A 23,618-nucleotide genomic window follows, 5' to 3' on the forward strand; every position below is an offset into this window, starting at 1 on the left:
GGACCATATTGTTTAATTTCCGTGTATATATAGTTTTCAGAGTTCCTCGTTATCAATTTATTTATTTATTTATTTTTGTGACTGAGCCTTGCTCTGTTGCCCAGGCTGGAGTGCAGTGGCGAGATCGCGGCTCACTGCAACCTCTGCCTCCCAGTTTCAAGCAATTCTCCTGCCTCAGCCTCCCAACTAGCTGGGACTACAGGCGTATGCCACCACGCCTGACTAATTTTTTATATTTTTAGTAGAGACAGGGTTTCACCGCATTAGCCAGGATGGTCTTGATCTCCTGACCTCGTGATCTGCCTGTCTCGGCCTCCCAAAGTGCTGGGATTATAGGTATGAGCCACCGTGCCCCACCTCTTCTTATCAATTTCTAGATTTATTCTGTTGTGGTCTGAGAATATACTTGCTATAGTTTTGATTTTTTAAAATTTGTTAAGAATTTTTTTGTGTTCTAACATATGGTCTATCTTGGAGAGAGTTTCATGTACTGGTGAAGAAAATGTGTATTATGTAGCTGTTGGATGAAATATTCTGTAAATGTCTGTTAGATTCATTTGTTCTATAGTGTACATTATATCTGACGTTTCTTTGTCGATTTTCTGTCTAGGTGATCTAATGCTGGAAGTGTGGTGTTGAAGTCCCCAGCTTTTATTGTATTTGTGTCTCTTTTTCCTTTAGGATTAGTAATATTGCTTTACATATCTAAGTGCACCAGTGTTGTGTGAGAATATAATTGTTATATCTTCTTGCTGGATTCCTTGATTATTTTATAATGACCTTCTTTGACCCATTTTACAGTTTTTTACTTAAGTCTATTTTATCTAAGTATAGCTACTCCTGCTTGATTTTGGTTTTAATTGGAATGGAATGCCTTTTTAATCCATGATATTTAAAAAAATTAGTCTCAATGATGTCTGCATGTCGCTCAGTGGCTTAGACTGTGGGCATTTGTGGAGTCATTGGCCTAGTTCAGTGAGCTTGGGGGCCACCAGGTAGGCCATTTCTCAGGCCCTAGGGAGATAACTGTCAGGTGAGGTAGCTCTGCTGGCTCTGGGTGCTTTGACAGTGGTGTCAGGTGCTTTGACAAAGGTGGCAAGCACTAGAGAAGCCGTCCTTGTTTGTTGTTTTTTTTTGGAGGGGTGGGGGCGGTGCAAACAGTACCTGCAATTAAAAAAAAATAAATGTTTATTTTTATATTTTGCATGTTAAAAAATGTACTTTAGAAAAATTGATATTGATTTTAAAAGAAATAAAAAGTTTTTTAAGTTACTGCTATAATAGTTTTCCCCATTTTTTATAACTTCTAGTAGCAATATTGTCTCATAAGTATTAGAATAACAACTTGATCACAGTTCATTCTTTATATACCTTTTATTACTTTTTAACTATATTGAATTTTTTTAAAAGCTTGATTCTCTTGTTACTCACATCTTAAGAAAATAATTTTTTTTGTGAGATCATTCTCTTTGGTAAAATTTTTAGACACAAATGGATTTTGCATTTTTTATATTTTAGTGAGCAATTTATTTCTTAATTTATTTCTTCTTATTTTCTGGCTACTGCATAACAGAATATTTCAGAACTTCTCACATGTATGGAGATGAGGATGATCAGTTTTTCAGCAGATGTTTGCCGTTTACTTTTACAAGGCCACAGGTAATTATACCAAAATATTATACAATCATAACCTTCAATCTGCTCTTATTGCCAAAAATTTTGAACGAGTCCTGCAAGTTGATTGTAAATTCCAGGTAGTTTAAGATGAACCTGAGGGATATTATCAAGAGCTACAAGACTTTTACATGAGAGTATTTTTTCCACTATAATAAAGCACCAAATGAAGCTTATCATAAAAAATAAAATTGCTTCTAAACTTTGAAAATTTATGTAAAAACTTGATCCTCCATCTAAACATAAAAAATTTGAAGTAAGTCTGTTTTATGTTTTTACATGGTTTCCTTCAAATCTATGTATGACAAGCAATTCTTTTACATATTTTTGGGAAAACTAATTTGTTTTGCACAAAGTTGTTTTTTGTTACATAGTACTCACTGTATATATTCCATATCAGTGTTAAATCTTAATGTCAATAAGTTTGTTAAGTTCACTGTGATATAATTACCTATTATATTTAACTTAGCCTATTATATAGAGTTTTGCACTGAAATAATTATTCATAAATAACACAATATGACATGTTGGTGTTGTTATATTCATCTTAATTTTGATTTTACTTGAAAAAATTGGTTTTTTTCTCTTTTTTTTTTTTTTGAGACAGAGTCTTGCTCTTGTCACCCAGGCTGGAGTGCAGTGGCGCTAACTCGACTCACTGCAACATCCACCTCCTGGGCTCAAGTGATTCTCCTGTCTCGGCCTCCTGAATAGCTGGGATTACAGGCGCATGCCACCATGCCCGGATAATTTTTGTATTTTTAGTAGAGATGGGGTCTCACCATGTTGGTCAGCCTGGTCTCCAACTCCTGACCTCGTGATCCACCTGCCTCGACCTCCCAAAGTGCTGGGATTACAGGCGTGAGCCACCACACCCGGCCGAAAGAATTTTTGACTAAAACATATCATCAACTTCTTAGCTTAAAAATGCAAAAAAGAAAGATAACGAAAATAGTGAAAATAATAAGAATAAAATATAATTATGACCAAAACATGGCATATTGTGTGAAGTTATTTATTTTAGCTCTTTCCTGCATTAACACTAAGTTGGTCATAGAGGAATAAGAATGTCAAGGAAAATGGATGTACAGGTGATACAAGCTGAGAAGCAGAAACTAAACTAAACTAAACTAAAGAAGGTGAAAAGTGGATGAACATCTGTTTAGATATCATCCTCAAAGAGAAAACTGGCATCTGTCCATGGATAAGAAAGCTGATTTGTTTCAAGTGCTATAGGCAAATCCAGAATTGGAGAAAGGAGGAATTTCTTAAAATGGGAGTAAGGCATGGGACTAAAAATGCAAGAATATTAAAAAATATGAAGAAGAAGAACTTAAAACTCAGTTTGCAATTCCCATCAGGGAAACCAGTTGATTACATCTCTCTACAAAGTGAACAGAAAAATTAATCTATGAAAAAATTAACCAAAGGATGTCGAGATATGGGATTACCAGAAAATGATCTCGCATTAAAAGCAAGGGCAATAAGAATAACTTAAATTACTGAAAAAAATAGTGGCAAACTCTGTTATATAGATAAGCTCCAAGACCAAGAACACAGGGACATACTCCTCTCATCCTCCCTAAATCAGGAGAATGAGATACTCTTCTCTGAATAAACTGCATAATCCTAAACAAAAGTCGGGCTATGCTGTTTGGGGGTTATTTCCATGAAAAGGATGGATTGCTATCCAATCTCTCACTTGAAACAGAGATCCCATGCTGTTTAAATGCCTTACTCTTTTTTATCATACATATTTATGGGGTACAATGTGATGTTTTAATGTATGTGTACACTGAAAAATAAGACCTGAATAGACATTTCTCAAAATATATATTTATATAGCCAACAAGTACAATGACTGACTCTTAAATATGACATCAAATTGTGATCCACACTTTGAAGAAAGACTTTTGCATCAATGAGAGAAAACAAAACCAAGAAACTTAAAAAAGGAATTTAAAGAAACAGGCAATGCAGAGATTAGAAGGAAATTTAACTCAATATAGCTAATGTCCTCAGAAATACCACAAAGTTTATTAAGTCCATAAAATAAGAACATGTTTTAAAAGGGCACATTTCTTAAATAAGAAATACACTTGGAAATAAAAAAAATTGAATGACAGAATACTCATTTTAGGTAAAACTGAGGATTGCTCTAGTGAGTGGAACAAAAAGACAGTGATTAAAAAGTAACAAAAAATATATGAGAAATTTGTAGGCTAAATCTAAGTTGAATACCCAAACTTTCAGAAAGAGAAAACTGAAAAAGGAATAACTGGGCTAGTTATTAGATGGATGAAACAATGTGATTTCAGAACTAAAAGCAAGAACATTTTCTAGTTCACGTAGTGCATCTGTTTTTTATGACATTTAATGAGAGTTCTCACATGAAGCACATCAATTTAAAATTTCAGAACACTAGGATTACACAGATAAATCTGCTTAAAATGTTCTCCCATGCTCTCTGTATCACCCATTGCAGGATTGAATAAAAAAACTAACCTCAGGCCAGGTACCGTGGCTCATGCCTGTAATCCCAGCACATTGGGAGGCCGAGGTGGCTGGATCGCTTGAGGTCAGGAGTCTGAGACCAGCCTGGCCAACACGGCGAAACCCCATCTCTACTAAAAATACAAAAAATTAGCCGGGCATGGTGGCGGGGGCCTGTAATCCCAGCTACTTGGGAGGCTGAGACAGGAGAGTTGCTTGAACTCAGGAGGCGGAGTTTGCAGTGAGCAGAGATCACGCCATTGCACTCCAGCCTCTCAACAAAGCGAGACTGTGTCTCAAAAAACAAACAGAAAACCTTACTTCATATCTGCCAACATTTTGGACACTAGCAGTATAGACTGCCTAAGAGCACAGGCAGAGTCTTAAGTGTGATTGATTAGCTCTGTCTAAGAAACCATCCAAATAATTTCAATCATGTCCCATTTTCTTAGCTGGTATCCAGAGCAATTCACAGCCTCTTAGGTTATCTGTCAGCATTTAGGTTCATCTACAAAATGTTCAGTGTATCCCCCAATACGAATACAGTGTCCACTTCTTCCTAACTCTGTCAACACAAACTCTTCTTTGATGTTCATTTGAACTCAAAATCTGTCATCAACAAAATCCATTAAATATTCATCATTTTTTTCAGAACTTTCCTAACTAATGCAAAAGCCTGGATGTCAGTTGAAGATACTGTGTTCTCTCCCTTTTCATCTGTGTACTGCAGAGAAGGTGAACTAGGCCCTTAAACTTTTGTTACCACTTTTATGTCACTGTTTTATCTTCTCCCTAGAAAAGCAAAGAATTTTGAAGCACCTGTTATTACCCTACATGCTTCTCCTTGACCTCCTACGTCCTACTATTCCTCAGTAATTACATATTATTTTTCCTTTTTATTTTTAATGTTTTTGATTCCTTTATTTCTTTTTAAAAATTTTTAAATTTACTTTAAGTTCTGGGATACATGTGCCAGAACATGCAGGTTTGCTACATAGGTATACATGTGCCATGGTGGTTTGCTGCACCTATCAACCCATCATCTAGATTTTAAGTCCCACATGCATTAGGTATTTGTCCTAATGCTATCACTTCCCTTGTCCTCCACCCCACCAAAAGGCCCTAGTGGGTGATGTTCCCCTCCCTGTGTTCATGTGTTGTCATTGTTCAACTCCCACTTATGTGTGAGAAGATATGGTGTTTGGCTTTCTGTTCCTGTGTTAGTTTGCTGAGAATGATGGCTTCCAGCTTCATCCATGTCCCTGCAAATTGACATGATTTCATTCGTTTTTATTGCTGCATAGTATTCCATGGTATATATATGTGCCACATTTTCTTTATCCAGTCTATCATTGTTGGGCATTTGGGTTGGTTCTACATCTTTGCTATTGTAAATATTGCTGCAATAAACATACATGTGCATGTGTCTTTATAGTAGAATGATTTATAATCCAAGTAATTACATGTTTTAATAGCCAAATCTCTGTCTTTTATCCTCTAATATTCTTGTTATTTTTATTGGTTTAAATATTTCCATGCTCTACATTTTTAATGGTCTAACCTGCCACTCCACTTCATCCATCTACTCCTAAATCTCTGGTCTTTGTCATTGTTGATAGCCATGTCAACATGCATATTTATCCATCTTCATAATCAAGTGTAAGCTAAATCCTCTATTTTAACATGTTAAACTTGGTATATAAAAAAAGAAAGCCAAAGGTTAATTTTAAACCTTCCTTCAATTATGTGAAGAGTTATTTTCCAGAATGTAATAACTAATCTTTTGAAATATCAATGGAATTGCTTAGGCATAATTTTGGAAAGACCCTTAGGAGTTGGGTAATCTATAACAACAATGAAAATGTGGATTACATCTCTGGATATTTTTAACATAGATTTTACTTACTTTAATGCACACAATTCTTTCCATTTACTGACTGCTTATTTTCTAAGAAAATATAAATTAGATATGCTATTGTTAAGATAAAGATAGGATCATCATTGCTGTTGAAGGTTAAGATAAAGAAATAATAATGAGAATATAAAACATTCTTTGCTTGAACAAATTATATGTATTGGCAACAAGTTTTAAAATCCATAACAAAGAGAGAGACAATGTTTTAGTTCATTACAAGGGACTTTCTTCATCTTCTCTAGCTACAAACATTAAGTGACCTAGAGTTAAAAATATATACATCTGAATAAAATCATTTTAAAAGAAGAATATCTGTTGTGCTAAGACACTGAACATATTCAGGAAATTGTTTCCATTAAATTATCAAATTTTGTAGCCTCTTTTGCATTACTTTCTGCATGCTTAAGCCTTGGCTTTCATGTTAATTTAACATTTATTCATTAAATTTAGAAACACAATTAAGTGTTATATTGAAAGTAAGTACTTAAGGCTTTATTCTGATGAGTGTTTTGCTTATATTTTCACTTTATGAAAACAGAGGTTGGAAGCTGAAATACCATTTCCATATAACTATAGCAACCTACACATTGTTTTAATAAAAATGCCAACATAAAGCTTTACCAAGCATCAAAAATGTTCTCAAGGAAAACATATCTTTCTATTATGTATTTGAATTGATGGCTGGCAGAGCTAAGATAACAGGTTTTGGCCATCTAAGAAGTTGATATAAATGGCTCTGTAAACTCCATATTATTTCTTCATTATTTGCTGTGATATTGTGTGAGGACATCACTTATCACGTTGTAAGTTTTAATATGTTATCTTAGGTTAAAATGAAAGCATTAGTCAACAGCTTATATGGATTTTTATTGCTTTCAATGAGTTTTGGCTTTACATCAATGTAGTACCAAAATAGCCTTATTTTATTAAATCAACATGCCAAAGATAAAATACAAAAATATGCTTTCATATAGATTTGCCCTTCCGTTAAATGAATATCTTTAATCTTATAAAGGGAGATAATTATATCATAAAAATGATAGTAAATATCCAAATTTAACTTTAGAAGGCTTAAATTAAATGAGAAATCTGCAGTTGGACATGATGTACTGTTAGATGTTGCAGTAGAGAATGGCTCAAATTCTATTACTTCTTTTAAATAAATAATACTTTCTGTCTGATAGTTAATATTGTAGTTTCATTTCCAACAGCATTGGACAACAAGTACATATATATAATGGTGACATAATTTACTTTATCAATTTAAATATGCTTTTACAAAACACGTAGTTTTTTCTGTAAGTGGAAACAAGCATTACTGAGAATGATTTGAGGCATAATTTTTCTGAAGACACATTGGTTTAGTATTTGGAAATTGGTGCTCATGTTGGCTCAAAGAGCAATCATGTCTTTGAATAGGGCCCTAACAAAGTTGACATTTATGATAAAGCAAAGAGCATATTTATCCATCTTCATAATCAAGCATAAGCTAAGAGTTGATGGGTGTGCCATATGCATGCATAAATGACGCTTTCATCCCTTGCATCTGTTCATATTAATAATTCTTAAACAGTGATTTTCATCTTAGAGTGTTACAAATGCTAACTAATTAATTAATCCCTTAAGTGTTTAATTGCATATGGGTAATTAAACACACTTTTTGCCATCAATGCTTATAGAGCAAAAATTAAAAAGAGAAATCATACTAAGCCTGATTTTCTAACCAATGGATAAAGGATGTGTCTTTCATACATTTTGGTAGAAGCAGCCTATATAGGATTTTTATTTCCAAAAATAACTTTTGCAGAAAAAGCATTTTGATAATATTAATACATGTTATGTAATTATTTCTATTTTTGAAAATTATAAACATTAGTATATTAAAGCTATTGAGAGGTATATAAAAATTGTTTATTTTGTGAAACACAGAACGTTGGAAACTTAATTGGTTGTTGAATCTCTGTTTTATAAGACCCAACCATATGCCTTGGAGTAAGTCTTGTTTGGAAATCTTTTGGAGTTGATGCAGTTTGTTTTATGATACATCTCAAGCAGGTGGAAGACTATTCGAGCCAATGTTCTTTTTTGTAATTTGGCCACGTGGTCTTCTGTATTCATAGCTTTTTCATGTGTTCTTACTTCCAAGTGGTTCTGAATATTATTGCAGATTAAATATGAGTAAACTAATATCAAAACACAGCAAAAATTGATTTCCTACTGTCACTGATCTATCAGTAATGATTCACTAGTAAATACTAAATCCTCTAATACCAGTGTTTCTAAATGAAGACACTTTCTGCATTTTTTAGTGGGAAATTTCTTCATTGTGAAAGATTTTATCCCATACACCAGGCAGTTTAACATTCTTGACCCCATTCTCAACTTCTTCCTCACTTTCACATTTGATTGTATCCTGACAATTATTTTATATTTATTAATATGTCTTGTGTTCCCAATGTGTTTATGTTTATAGGGCTTGTGTATGACTTTGGTTTTAGGAAATTTTGTGTCTTTGCCTGAATGTAATAACAAAAAGGAAATTACTACTACTCCATGAAAATGCATTATATCATCTTTCTCTCTTAAGAACAGTTTATGTAAATCATGTTAAAACAGTTTATGGGAATTAAGTTTGTTAAATATTCAAACTTACCAATGGCCTAGAGGTACCTTGAGAAGAAATCTCATGGATATTTGTGCAGTTGGTGAACATAATATTTATTCATCAAATATTTATTCATCAAATATTGAATTAATGTTACTTAGTTTTTGGATATTTTCTGGAGAACTGAGGAGACAGCTGTGATTTTCATGAGATCAATGCCCAAAGGTGTATGTAAATAAATGCCATGACTAGAAAACCTACTGCAAAACAAGGACTTCTATCAGAAACTCTGTTTTCCCTAAGGTAATCAACATTGTAGTTTTTCTTTATTTTAAACTTGTCTAGACTGTTGAATTAATGTGTACACACTATAGAATGGAAAACAAAAACTTCAAATTGATAAATGTGCATAGTAATAAAGATCTCAGCAAGATTTTTAAAATTCCACAGATATTAGCAAAATCTATATTGCCATTTATGCAACTAAACTGAGGGTGTAGTTTTTGTAGATAAGTTTAGTAGCACCTCATGGGAACATAATGAATAATTTTAATTAATTACCCAGTAGATGGTCAAGATGGAAAACGTATAGAACTCTTAGTGTAGGAACTGCAGCTTAATGAGGGTTGGTACTGCCTTCCATCAGATACATTTTTTTTAAGCTTTTTCACGCACTTTTTTTTTGTCCTACCAATGTTTATTAAGATTGACACTAAGGATAGTCTGGGGGTGTGTATTTGTTGGGATGGTTGTTTATCTATATTTATCAATGATAAAATTCTTAAATTTAGCAGTGCCCTTGAATAGCATCAGTACAAAAGTTCATGATGAATAAATCATCTATATTGTTAATGACTTTTTAGAAAATTATGGGTGTTTTTGCCTGAATGTAATAACAAGAAGAAGTGACTACTACTCCATGGAAGTGCATTATATAACCTTTCTCTTTTAAGGACAGTTTATGGAAATTAAATTTGTTAAATATTCAAATTTATCAATGGCCCAGAGGTACCTTAAGAAGAATTTTTCAATGAGATGATTGTAATTATTGGTGTCACGACACCAGGTCAATGAAATTGCTATTTTGAGAGCAAAGCCAGACTGTGAGGAGTTTGTGACAGTAAAACACGTGAAGGAATCGCTAATCTCATGATATCTCATTCAAGGAAGTAGTTAATGGTGCAAAGACCGGAGTTTTGAGAGGAAGGCTTATCTGTACTCTATGCTGTATACTGTATACTGCCTAATGTATGTATTGCCTAATGTATATGCTATTGTGTTAATCTGCTTTGTGGTACAGATATTCAACATTTTGGGAAACATTAACAAACCCAGGGTTTGTAGATATGAAGCAAGAGTATAAGGCATCAATTAAAACGCAGGTAGAAATGTGATCTGAACATATGGAGTATTTTTTAAATAAAAACATTTTAGGCAGATATGACACAGGAGAAATTTGTATTTTCTTAAGTGGAAGATCATGACACAACAATGTGGTGAATATTATTGGGAAAGGAGGGGAGTGACAGCTATTTGGTCCCAGAATTCTCAGAAAACATAGCCCATTTATATCTGATATTTTATCAGTATGTCAGGCCTGATGCAACTATCCATTATTCTGTTTTCTCATCAGTAAATCAGTAAATTGACTTATAATAATAAAACCAATTTCATAGAATTGTTGTAAAGGTTAATTGAAATAGTATATGTAAATACTTTTAAAGAATAAGGACTATACTGTCTAATTTTAAAAGGTGCTATTTCTAATATTTTTATGTTCAATTATAGGATACGATTTGAGAGGAAGTTTTTCTGTCCAAAATGTCTTTTCCTTTTTCTACAAATCTGCAGATGATGAAAATCCCAACATTGTTGACTAATTCCTTTGTGTTAAAGAACTCTTGTTGAAACTAACATTATCCATTTAGAGTTATAAGATACAAACTTATTAACTATAACTTTAGTATAAAGGCCTTTCTTAAATTTTTTCTTATTGTGATTAGAGACAATAATAAAGCAGTGCAAACCGTAGTACAATATTTTGGAAAATGTTGGTGACACACTGTCACTGGGCAGGTGGGATAAGACTATGAAAAGACAGAAATAATTATAAGAAAAACCTAAATTGTTTTACATTTTCCAAAGATGAAAATTAAGAAATTATTATTCTCCCATATGATATATATTGGAAACAGAAGTAGCAATGATCCAAAATTAAACAGATTCTTTTTTGTTTTTATACATTTTTCTCTTAATTAAGCTAGAAACAAAAAAGGATCCAATTTAAGAAAAGGAACTATGCATTTTGTGTTGCAAATAAGCTTAATCAAGGCAATATTCTCTCAAATATGCAAAGAATTGTTTATAAAAAGGGTTTACTAAAGCTTAAATAACATATGTACTAACAATGTACTAACAATTTTACCTGTGTGTTTTATAATTAGACATAAACTACTTGCATATAAGTCAACTTTATTTACAAAACTTTAAAATTGGTAAACATTTCACATTAGAATGCACCGTTCTCAGATTCTGCTGGTCTTGCTTTTGAGTTTGTAAATGTAGTATATTAAAGGTTTAGCACAATGAGAAAATCATGACATCAATGGCATTTTGTTGTCACCTTAGCAGGATGTAAGTCAGGATGAAATAAAATTAGCATCCTGAAACCTATAAAAGGTGATTTGTTTAGTAAAAGCAAAGATTAAATCCTTAATATCATTATTTGCATATTATAATACCCACAGCAAGTGACCTAGAAATGGTACAACATTTTATTGTGACATAAATTATAGGTAAAAATATTATTATATAATAAAACTCACAGAACTTTAAAATTAGGTGATATGTAGATTCTCTACATCCTAACTCGAGTGATAAAATTGTCCATAAAAATTTTCTTCTTTGCTTATCCTCTAGGAAATTACAACCTTCAGGAAAATAAAAACTTTCTCTATTTGAATTGCTGCAGACTCCCACCATTCTGCTAATTACTCTACCCTGTCCCACTCTCTGACATTTTGTCAGTTTTACTGAAGTAATTGTTATGTATGTTATTGAAAATTTAGTACTGAAAGTGTAATCTGATAAAAAATTTACATAACTGTTGATTGCAAATCAGGTCTTTGAGTAAGAGGCAGACTGGAAAATCTAAGTGGCTAAGTAGCTAAAAATAAATAAACTAAGTAGCTAAAACTAAGTAGATAAAAAAGAAGGTTTCTCAAAACTTCATTCTTAAATTAGCTCCTTAACATATGAAACAGGAAAAGTAATAGTAATTGCCTACTTGAGCATCTCTCAAAATATGCAATTTATTAGTATCATTAATAAACTGTGAAATTACAACTTTACTGTGAAGAGTTACTTCATATGTCATTCTAAAAATTGATATGCTCAAAATGTCAATTAAAGTTGTTGACACAGATTTTTATTAGATTTTTGTCAAAACCTCTTAAATTTTTAAATAATAAAGTTAATGTTTAGAATAAATTATATTGTTAAACTTTTTATTATTGCATATGTAAAAATAAAGCTGAATGAGTAATTATATTGTGATTTGATTTATGTAGCTTTATATACATTTGGTTATATATATGCATAGTAAAAGAGAGCAGAAACATGAATAATTAAAAATTCCCTTTTTTTGTATTTGGTAGTTATTTCTTTCCTAAATTTGTATGGATTAGAGGTTGAAGTGGATTGATCAGGGATTCTATTAGAGAGATAGGGTTTCATGCATTGTTCATTTGAGGCTTGTTTTTGAGAGTGAGGATAAACATAAGAGTCAGGTGTTCTATTATTACTCAAAGTGCAGGGTTCCCTGTAAAATGAATTAAGAATGAGACAAGGACTTCAGCCCAACAATAGGCCTACAAATCTTTCTTACTTGAATTGGAGATAAATAGGGGCTTACCTTAATTTTTCATCATTCTCAACCGAAAATGGAAAGTATGAGCAGTGGGAAAGGAGAACTCAGCATGCCCTCAAAGGCCAGTCCTGCCTGAACTTCTCACCTCAAGGAGAATGAAAGTGCAAGCAAGGTACCTTCATCATGTCTGAGAACAGATAGACCAGTAGTAGCAGCAGAGATCCTAAATGGAGACTGCTTACTGCTTTCATAATCAATATTTCTGGTCCCAAATTCAATGACATATTACCCAACAGATGCTGGGTACACAGAATATACCAACTACACTTCTTCCCAAGGGAAGCACTGGGTTCCAGAAAGTAAAGAGAGCTGAAACCCCCTTTATAACTAGGAATGACAGGATAAGTCTCTTAAGACTATATTTATTATTTTTTCATTTTATTTTAAATTAAAAATTGACACCCAAATAAAATGTGGAAGCATGTAAATAGTTTCTGAGGATTTTTAAAAAATAAAAAAAGAAAACAAATATATAGTCAATAATATTTTAAATAGCTTAATAAGAAAAGACCATATTCCAGTTTAGAGAGCATGTAATAACCAAGTACTTATATTTAGTGCAGAGTTTAATTGCTGTCAAATTTAAATTGCTATACTTAAACTGTATTATTTCACAGCCCATTCAGTTATCATGTAAAAGCACCACACATCAGTTCAGGTAAGCATGGTAGAGGTAAAATTAAGAGATCATTTTTAAAAATGAGGACAGACAACTGCAAGTCTGTTCATCAAAATACATTGGAGGTTTTCTCCAACAGTAACAGATAAAGGAAGCTTTGCAATCAAGACCTGGCGAACAAGAACAACATAAGAAAATGTGCTGATGTGTGATACTACAATGGAGGGACTCAGCAGAAATGAACACAGTGCTCTTCCCAGAGGATAAAAGGCTTAACCTTTTATGCTATGCAATCTTTTAAAAAGAAATATGTGAGGTAAGGCCACCATTTCTACATAGAAATAGAAAAAAGAGATTTTCCTGGGAAATTCACACACTTTTCAGGCAAAGAAACTCTGGAATCAGAAGGCACTAATGTTGAATCATTTTTCTACCAAATTACAGTTACTTTGTTGCTGTGTTGCTTTGGGCAAGTTGCCAAAATATGTTTAAAATTCATAAGGCAACTTGAAACACATGGGTTAGTTGTAGTATTCTCAAACACTGGTCTTATTTTTCATTAGCTGAGTGATATTGAATACATTATTCCCAGGTCTTATTCCTCATATTAAAATTGTGATAATGAATGAATATTCACCATACAAGTATATCTGATAAAATCTTCCAAGGATATTGTGAACATAAAATTTGATAATATATGTAAAGGATCCATATTTTTGCCTGCTTTAATAAATATTAGTTAATCTCTGTCCCTGTTAATTATAACCTCTAAGACAAAAATTTGAGAAAATACTAAATTACTCTTTTGTAGTGATTATGTCATAAATCAAAACAAAACAAAAGACCCAAGTATTGGCACATATTGCTAATGGGAGTGTAAATTTTTATAATTAGGAAAACATTATAGCAATTCCATTTCTACGTATATAGCCAAGATAAATAAAAACATGTTCACAGAAAATCTTGTATTAATACATACATGTTCACAGCAACACTATGCATATCTCAACTTGTAAACAACTCAAATACTCATCAAGTGATAAATGGATATACAAAAGAGGTATACATCTATATAACAGAATATTATTTATCCATGAAAATGAGTGAAGTATTGACATATGCTATACCATGGGTGAATCTTGAAAACATTATACCACGTGAAATAAGTGAGACACAAAAGGCAATATATTATATGATTCATTTTTTTTGTTAAATGTCCAACATAGACAAATAGACAAAACATTAATTTGTGGTTGTATTAGGCTGTTCTTACATTGCTATACCTCAGACTGAGTAATTTATAAGAAAAAACATTTAATTGGTTCACTGTGCAAGCGGTACAGGAAGCATAAAGTCAGCATCTGCTTGTAGGGAGGGCTCAAAGAACTTCCAGTCATGGCAGTGTGTGAAGGGGGAGCAGGTGTCTCACATGGAGGGAGCAGGAGTGAGAGAGAGAATAGGGAGGTGCTAAGCACTTGAAAATGACCAGATCTCATGAGAAGTTTTAACTATGCCTAGGACAGCACCAAGAGTATGGCACTGAATCATTCATGAGAAATTTGCCCCCATGATCCAACCACCTCCATCCAGACCCCACCTCCAACATTCGGGGTTATATTTCAACATGAGATTCAGGGCAGGGACACACATTGAAACTGTACCAGTCGTTATCAGGGCTTTGGCAAGAGGAGAAATAGGGAGTGATTGCTAATAGGTATGGCGTTTCCTTTGGGATAATGAACTACTCTGGAATTAATGGTGATGATTGCAAAATCTTGTGAACAGTATAAAAAATCATTGATTTGGACCTATTAAAAGGGTCAATTACCCTTATTTGTGACCATATTCTACAGAAACAAAGCTACCAGCAAATAAATAAAAAAGGCTTATATCCAAGTATTTGTCATGGCAAGCAACATAAATAACCATCGATAAGGAATGTTTGAATATAGTCTGATAAAATGATAACAAAAGTGTTAATGTGCTTACCATGTACCTGATACTGGGTTAAACACTTTGCATGTATTACATTTTTATTACTCATATCAACATTTTTGTAGATACTATTTTTTTAATTCTATAGATGAGGAAATTAAAGCATAGGAAGACAGCGATGTGCTTAAGGTGTTGGCATTGTTTGTATTCAGGAACTGAAATGATAATAATACCTATATCATAGGGTCGTTTTGATTATTAAATGAAATAATACATGAGAAGTGCTTAGAACAGATTAGAAAGTCGTAGGCCTATATGATGTTCGATTTTATCAGTCATCTTTGCTGGATGCCATGGTACCCAGACACTTGGTCAAATATTATTCCAGTTGTTTCTGTGAGGTTAATTTTTACATGAGATTAACATTTAAATTAGTAGACTTTGAATAAAGCAGATTGCTCTCCATTATATGGATGGGCCTTATTAAATTAGTTGAAGGACTTAATAGAAATAAAAAAATTGACTTTTCAGGAGGTAGAGGTAATTCTGCCAGCAGACTCAAATAGCAACTCTTCCCTGGGTTTTCAGTCGTCCAGCCTACCTTGCAGATTTTGGACTTGTGAACCTCCTCCATAGTCATATGAGTCAACTCTTTAACATTGATGTCTCTTCCACCTTCTCTCTCTCTCTGTGTGTGTGTGTATATATATATATATTTACACACATACACATATATATGTGTATTATTAAATATTACACATAATATATTATGGAACATATATTATGGAACATTATATAATACATGACATATTACATATACGTGTATATATGTGTATGTATACACCTGTGTATATATACATACGTGCATATACATATGTAGGATATATATACACAAATATATACTCTGTTCTGTTGCTCTGGAAAACCATGATGAAAACATCCTTATTAAGTTTCTTTCTAATCAAGAAGAAAAAATGTAAATCGGCAAAAATTTTTATAATAACATTTTTGTAATAAGAAATTTGGTGTTTATACATATATCTGTTTCTTATAAATAGAAAAAATGTAGAAAGATGACTATAAAGTGGAATAGTGAAAAATTACATTCAGGCATTGTATTTTGTACACATCTGTATGACCTAATTTGATTCAATAAGCATATAAAGCTTTTGTAGTTTGAAAGGAAAACTCTTTAAAATATTTAAACATTTTGAAAAAATATTTAAAAACCAACGAAGTAAACAATAAGGACAGTAAAGCATCAGAAAAATCTATGTTATGTGAATTTGGAGGCACAATTACATACAGTGGAGTTTTAACTGACAGTAAATTGCCAGGAAAGGAAGGATTTAGCTGTGTCATGTTCCAAACAGGCTAAACATAAAGACGGTGGGAAAAAAATCACTCTAAATTCTGAAGTTAGCAGGTTTTTTCCCTAAGGTTTCTATATACCATCCTGATTTTGTAAGTTATTTACATACCTTAGAAATTCCTACTGTTTACAGCTCCATCTAAACAGAAACATAGCCAGATGCCTATTTGAACTGCCTATGTGTGATAATTCAACATCCTACACATTTTTCTCCAATTAATGTTTTGGTTATTAGTTTAGCTGACATAAAACATTTATTTGGCTGAGATTTATCCAAACTCTGTGAAAGGCCCTCCTAATAAACTATGTAATATTTCTAAGAAATATAACAAATTCTTCCTTTAGGTTTTGAAGGTCTACATTTTTTTCCTTTAGCCCATATCTGAAAACTAATTCCTGGTGAAAAGTCGTACTAAAAGTCATATAGCAAATTGATAGCAAAGCCACAAATACAACCTAGTAATTCTTATTTTCAGGTCCAGACTTTAATCATTGAACCAGACGAGTTGCCACTTTCTCTGACTGATCACCCTTAGCATTTAATCCTTCTTCCAAGTTTCCCATTTATAGAGGTGACATAATTCAAAATTTCTGCATGGTTCACACGACAGACAAAGGCATGTGTGGGATTAATTTGCTGAGGATGACAAAAATTACAAAACTGAAATGGTTTGGGATATTAAACCCAAAATATGCTTGATATTTCAGAAGGGAAAACTGTTCCCCAAAATAACAAAGATGTGCAGTGTGTCATTGCAATAATCCCTTCGTCTCACTCTATCAAATGCACACAAGGGCTTGAAAATAAATGTAAGGAATTATTTACCAGAGATGCTGATGCATAAAGACATATTCAAACTCGAGAGAACACATTTCTATCAGCTTCAGTGCCAACATCCTCAAAGCTGCAAGGCTAAACATTCTACATCCTGAAATTAGCATCTTAAGCTTCATGAAATAGTGTAGAAAGTGCTATAGCCAGGATACTACAGTGCACAGCTGCCACCGGGGATTCCAGGGTGTTATGTATATTCTAAAGGGCATGGACATAGGGGATGCAGCTGCTTCTCGCCTTGATAGAAGAATAGCTGTTGCTTCTTATCCACAAGCTCAGGACCTCATATTTTTCGTCAGCTTAACAGGGGAAGCAGCATAACATGCTGCTAAAGAGCAACATGTTTCAAATTGAATGATAATTTTTTATAGGTAATTGAGGTGAGTAAAAATAGAAGCGAATTGTTTTAGTTTATTTTCTTGAATTTTTCTTCTTCACTCACGCTTCTCATTGAATAACTCAGAAAATTAAAACATTCTTCTGAATACTCACAGTAAAACAACCATGTCTGATTAAATCTCTGATGCATTGAAGTTAGAAGAGACCCAATATCAAATCTAGATTAACCAGCATCTTACTTATTTTAGATAGAGCTTCATCGTGTTGTGTGTTTGGAGGCATGTGGATGTGTGCTTTCCTTTTTTCTCTGCTAGGATCTTGTCTATAAGCTGAAACTTACCTAAGGCAATAGCAGACTCTTAAGTGCAGGTACTTCTCATAGACATTGGAAGTAGCCCACTTGGATACATATCTTCTGAAAGTTGATTGTTACCTTTCAGATGGCCTCACTCTTGTAACAGACCTGTACAAAAGACACTTTGGAATCAGTCTTTGCAGTCTGCCTTGTGAAAGAGATGTTGTTTACCTGGTTTGTCCGAAGTGGGTAGCATAATCATACCTGTAGTAGAACCCATGCTGTCCGTAGTTATTAATAATATCTGAAAGTTTTCTATTATAAACACCTTAAAAATTAATCATTGAAATCACTTTGAGAAACATATAGACATCTATAACCAAATATAGAAATTACTTAAATCATTTTTTTCGAATATTCTGCAAATTTTCACTCAAGGATTTCCTGAAACTCAGCCAAATATATCATTTCATCTTTGAGAAAAGTCTCTGAGACTATCTTAATCAATCATTTCCTTTTTTTGAATCCTAGCTCATCATATGAAGCTACACATAGAAGTCTCATGCTGTTTCAAATACCATGTTTCTGCATTTAAATGGTCATTTTCATATTTGTTTTTTGTTTTGATTTTAGTTTTCATTCCTTGAACACTGTGTTTCAGGTCTGACTGTCCATCCTTTACATGATATTTAACAAGATTGTGTCCTAAGAGAGCATAATTTCTAGAGCTTGAAGGGAGAAATCAAGAGTTCTGTTATAAGCACAATCCATTTGTGATGCTGTTACCTACCGAAGCCATGTAGCAAATTGGACAGTTTGATAAATGAATGTGAAGCTCAAGGGAATGGTTAGTTCTGACAAATAAACATCAGAGTCAATCTGTGGAGTTTCTAAAATTAAACGTAGAAAGCATAGGGGCCAGCAAAGGGAATGACATTGGGAGGCAAGAGTGTAATGGTGTCCCTTACACGAAGTGAAGTAAGTATTATAAGAAGAAAGGAGTCATTAGTAATGTCAAATACTGCTGAGAGTCTAATCAATTGAGAGCTTAGAATTCGCCACTGGCTTTGGCTTAGTGAAGTTGTTATGAACTTGGAAAGGACAATTTCTTTGGAGAAGTAGAAATGAAAACCTAATTATCGTGATTGAAGGAATGCATCAAACAAGAAAATGAAAAGCAGTATGGGCAAATATTTCACTCAGTTTTGCAATAAAGGGAATAAAGAAATGGAAAGATAAGTGAAGATCTTCTTATGAGCAATACTTTTACTATTTTTTGAAAAATCATTGAATGGTATTATAAAGAATAACTAGCAAAAATGGGTATAATAAATTTTCTGCTCTCAGAGAACTTTATATGCAATATCATTTGCATCATTTATATTAATGTCACATAAAAAGATGATTAGTTTCAATAGATCTTAATTTGAAATTTTGCTTCTGTTGGTCCTCTACAATTTTTGGTTATCTTTGATTATTTTGCAGTTAATGTGGAAAATGAAGAAAAGCAACTAACCCTGAAACTTTGAACAATATGTTATATTTAAAATCTATTTTTATTTTAAAACAAATCATTCAAATACATAGAGGGTTATAATTATATTTGTATAGTAACACATGTCCTATAGTTCTTCATAGTGACACGAATTCCCTTCTATCACCCATTATAGTTGTGAGGTATGATAGTGTCTTGATATTATATTATAGTTTTCTATTGCAGAAAAAAATCCTCAGGAAATAAAGGAGGTTGGTTGCAACTCTTAAACCCCTTAGTAGACATATTAAAAGAATAATGCAGTGGAAATTACGCATGTGAATGGCCTTCCTTTATTTCCATAAAAGTATTTCTTTACAATTTATTTTATTTCTTCATAATGATGTTGCTATTGCTTTTAAACAGAATATAAAGCCTTTCATAATTTTGTTCACACAATTTTGTTTACATACGTTTTCTCTATATTATTTCATGTAAATTTATCAGTATGGATGCCTCATTAGTAATATATATTTGTACTCATAAAATGAAGTACAAACTTTAAATCTTTAACATCACCCTATCTCCAATCTACCAGAGCAACAAAGAAAAATGTGCTGCCTTCCTTGTGATAATAGTAACATTGATCATTGCATCTTTCACATGAGACCTCAGCTTTCTTTGACAAGTTCATTCCTGAAGCATTTTTTTCTATAAAGTTAATAATTACTTTTTATAGACCTCCACGTAGTATTTCAAGGCAAAGCATCCACTAAGTTATATTAGATATAAATTTGCCACTGTATGTTTTCTGAGTGATTTCTCAGAAATCTTGAACTTGCCATGCAAGAAAGATTTTTCACTCCACTAATCCTTCAAGCATTTTCTTTGGCTGCTTTCTGTGATGTTACATTGGATGAAGAAAGCATAACCCCTGGATTAATAATATAATTACCACTTAGGAACTTGTTAGACACGCAAATTGTTTTGTTTCACTCCAGACATAATGAATCAGAATTAGGAGACAGGCTTAGAAGTTTGTAGTTTAAAAAGCCTTCAGATCATTCTGATGTTAGCTAAATTTTGAGATCCTTTGCACAAGGAGAAATCATAATATAATTACACTGATTTTCTGTTATAATTATTTAAAAGCTGTTTTTAAAGAGTTGAGTAGCACTAAGGTGCACTTTTCCTCTATTTCTGTATGAAACTTTCATAGCTTATCTCAGTGGAGAAATTGTTTCAAGGTTATATAGAGGTTAAAGTAATTAAACGTGTTGATCTAATTACCTTTATGTAAATTCAAACTAATTTCTTATTCTGTTGATATTTTTGACTTTGTAAATTTAGACATGGTACATTTTTTCCCTTTTTAATCATATATTCATATTGCAGATTTTCCTTTTATTTAACTTAAATGATTTTTGTAAATCTTTGAATGATACAGTGAAATTTGCTACTTTTTTTGTCTTTTGCTCAACTATTTTCTTTGTCATCCACTGAAAATTGGAGAGGATCTCCAGACTCAAAGCCTAAAAAAAATTCTATGATCTTCCTTCTTGTAAGCTTATAAAGTTTATACACTAATCATGGATGTATGAGGACTTAACAGTTCAAGTGCAAGTCCATGTCTGTCATCCTTTCCGGTGCAAGTCTCATAGCATGCTTAAAAATTTTACTCTGAAAACACTGGTGGGCAAAAAAATACGGTTTGGCACCTATCTAACGGCAGGTAACAAAAATGGAAGAAAAAACATTTTCTTAAATTACAGAGGCCTTTCTTTACAGAAGGTTCCTAAAAACAGAGTTTAGTCTTTGCGTATTCAGTATTTCAATAAGACAGTACTTACTGTGTCCGGAATTGGTGGATTCTTGGTCTCACTAACTTCAAGAATGAAGCCGCAGACCCTTGCGGTGAGTGTTATAGTTCTTAAAGGCGGCGTGTCTGGAGTTTGTTCCTTCTGATGTTGGCATGTGTTCGGAGTTTCTTCCTTCTGGTGGGTTCCTGGTCTCACTGGCTTCAGGAGTGAAGCTGCAGACCTTCGCTGGGAGTGTGACAGCTTTTTTTTTTTTTTTTTTTTGAGACGGAGTCTTGCTCTGTCGCCCAGGCTGGAGTGCAGTGGCGCAATCTCGGCTCACTGCCAGCGCCGCCTCCCGGGTTCACGCAATTCTGCCTCAGCCTTCCAAGTAGTTGGGACTACAGGTGCCTGCCAACACGCCTGGCTAATTTTTTGTATTTTTAGTAGAGACGGGGTTTCACCATGTTAGCCAGGATGATCTCAATCTCCTGACCTCGTGATCCACCCGCCTCGGCCTCCCGAAGTGCTAGGATTACAGGCGTGAGCCACCACGCCTGGCCAGTGTTACAACGCTTAAGGCGGGGCATCTGGAGTTGTTTGTTCCTCCTGGGGGGTTCCTGGTCTCACTGGCCTCGGGAGAAAAGCTGCAGACCTTCACAGTGAGAGTTACAGCTTATAAAGGCAGTGTGGACCCAAAGAGGGAGCAGCAACAAGATTTATTGCAAAGAGGGAAAGAACACAACTTCCACAGTGGGGAAGAGGATCCCAGAGGGTTGCCACTGCTGGTTCCTGCAGCCTGCTTTTATTCTCTTATCTGGCCCCACCCACATCCTGCTGATTGGTCCATTGTACTGAGAGCCGATTGGTCTGTTTTACAGAGAGCTGATTGGTCCGTTTTGACAGGGTGCTGATTGGTACGTTTACGATCCCTGAGCTAGACACAAAAGTTCTCCACATCCCCACTAGATTAGCTAGATACAGAGTGTGGATTGGTGTATTTACAAACCCTGAGCTAGACACAAGGTGCTGATTGGTGTGTTTATGAACCTTGCGCTAGAGACAGAGTGCTGATTGGTGTATTTACAATCCCTTAGCTAGACATGAAGATTCTCCAAGTCCCCACCAGAGTAACTAGATACAGAGTGCCGATTGGTGTATTCACAAACCCTGAGCTAGACACAGGGTGCTGACTGGTGTGTTTACAAACCTTGTGCTAGATACAGAGTGCTGATTGGTGCACTCACAATCCCTTAGCTAGACATAAACGTTCTCCAAGTCCCCACTAGTCAGGAACCCAGCTGGTTTCACCCAGTGGATCTCGTACCAGGGCCTCAGGTGGAGCTGCCTGCCAGTCCCGCGCTGTGCATCCGCACTCCTCAGCCCTTGAGCGGTGGATGGGACTGGGCGCCCTGGAGCAGGGGGCGGCGCTCGTCCCAGAGGCTCGCGCAACGCAGGAGCCCACCGGCGGGGGTGGGGAGGCTCAGGCATGGCGGACTGCAGGTCCCGAGCCCTGCCCCGCGGGGAGGCAGCTAAGGCCCAGCGAGAAATCGAGCACAGCAGCTGCTGGGCCAGGTGCTAAGCCCCTCACTGCGCGGGGCTTGCGCGCCCACCGGCCGGCCGCTCCGAGTGCGGGGCCTGCCGAGGCCACGCCCACCCGGAACTCGCGCTGGCCCGCAAGCGCCGCGCGCAGCCCTGGTTCCCGCCCGTGCCTCTTCCTCCACACTTTCCCGCAAGCTGAGGGAGCCGGCTCCCGCCTTGGCCAGCCCGGAAAGGGGCTCCCACGGTGCAGCGGTGGGCTGAAGGGCTCCTCAAGCACGGCCAGAGTGGGCGCCAAGGCCGAGGAGGCCCCGAGAGCGAGCGAGGGCTGCCAGTATGCTGTCACCTCTCATTATTATTTGCCGATGGGAGTGGAGAAGGAGACTTGGTGATAACAGGACTGAAAACCTTGTGTAGGTGAGTAAGCTTAATGCACTAGTCAAGAGATATTACCAAAATGAAGCATCACAAAAGAGAAGTTAAATTAATATTAGTAAGATTCATAGACAGTAATGTGGTTGAGAAAACTTGTATGTGCCCAAATGAGAAATATCCTCTGGCAGTTTGCAGAAATAATTTGGACATATTTTCTGGAGTTCCTTTTATAGAAACTGAGTGATTACTAAGGAAAAATTCATTTCAAATAGGACAGTATCATTTTTATGCCCAGGCTGATATGGTCCACATAGAGGAAATTTATGTAAACGTACAAAGAGTCACCAGACATCGTTCAACTGGAGTTAGATTGTATTGTATTGTATTGTATTGTATTGTATTGTATTGTATTGTATTGTATTGT

The 23,618-nt window shown here is 34.6% G+C and overlaps 1 long non-coding RNA gene across 1 annotated transcript; it reads right to left on the reverse strand.

The window, feature by feature from the left end:
* Positions 1–772: 772 nt before the first annotated feature.
* On the reverse strand, positions 773–21,681 carry LOC105370287 (uncharacterized). Its single transcript, XR_942130.2, has 3 exons — positions 21,335–21,681; positions 18,056–18,178; positions 773–1,164 (listed from the first exon to the last, which is right to left on the reverse strand). It is a non-coding gene; the product is annotated as an uncharacterized LOC105370287 (long non-coding RNA).
* Between the last annotated feature and the right edge of the window lie 1,937 nt (positions 21,682–23,618).

This window comes from Homo sapiens, chromosome 13, assembly GCF_000001405.40.
Source record: "Homo sapiens chromosome 13, GRCh38.p14 Primary Assembly".
Taxonomy (NCBI): domain Eukaryota; kingdom Metazoa; phylum Chordata; class Mammalia; order Primates; family Hominidae; genus Homo; species Homo sapiens.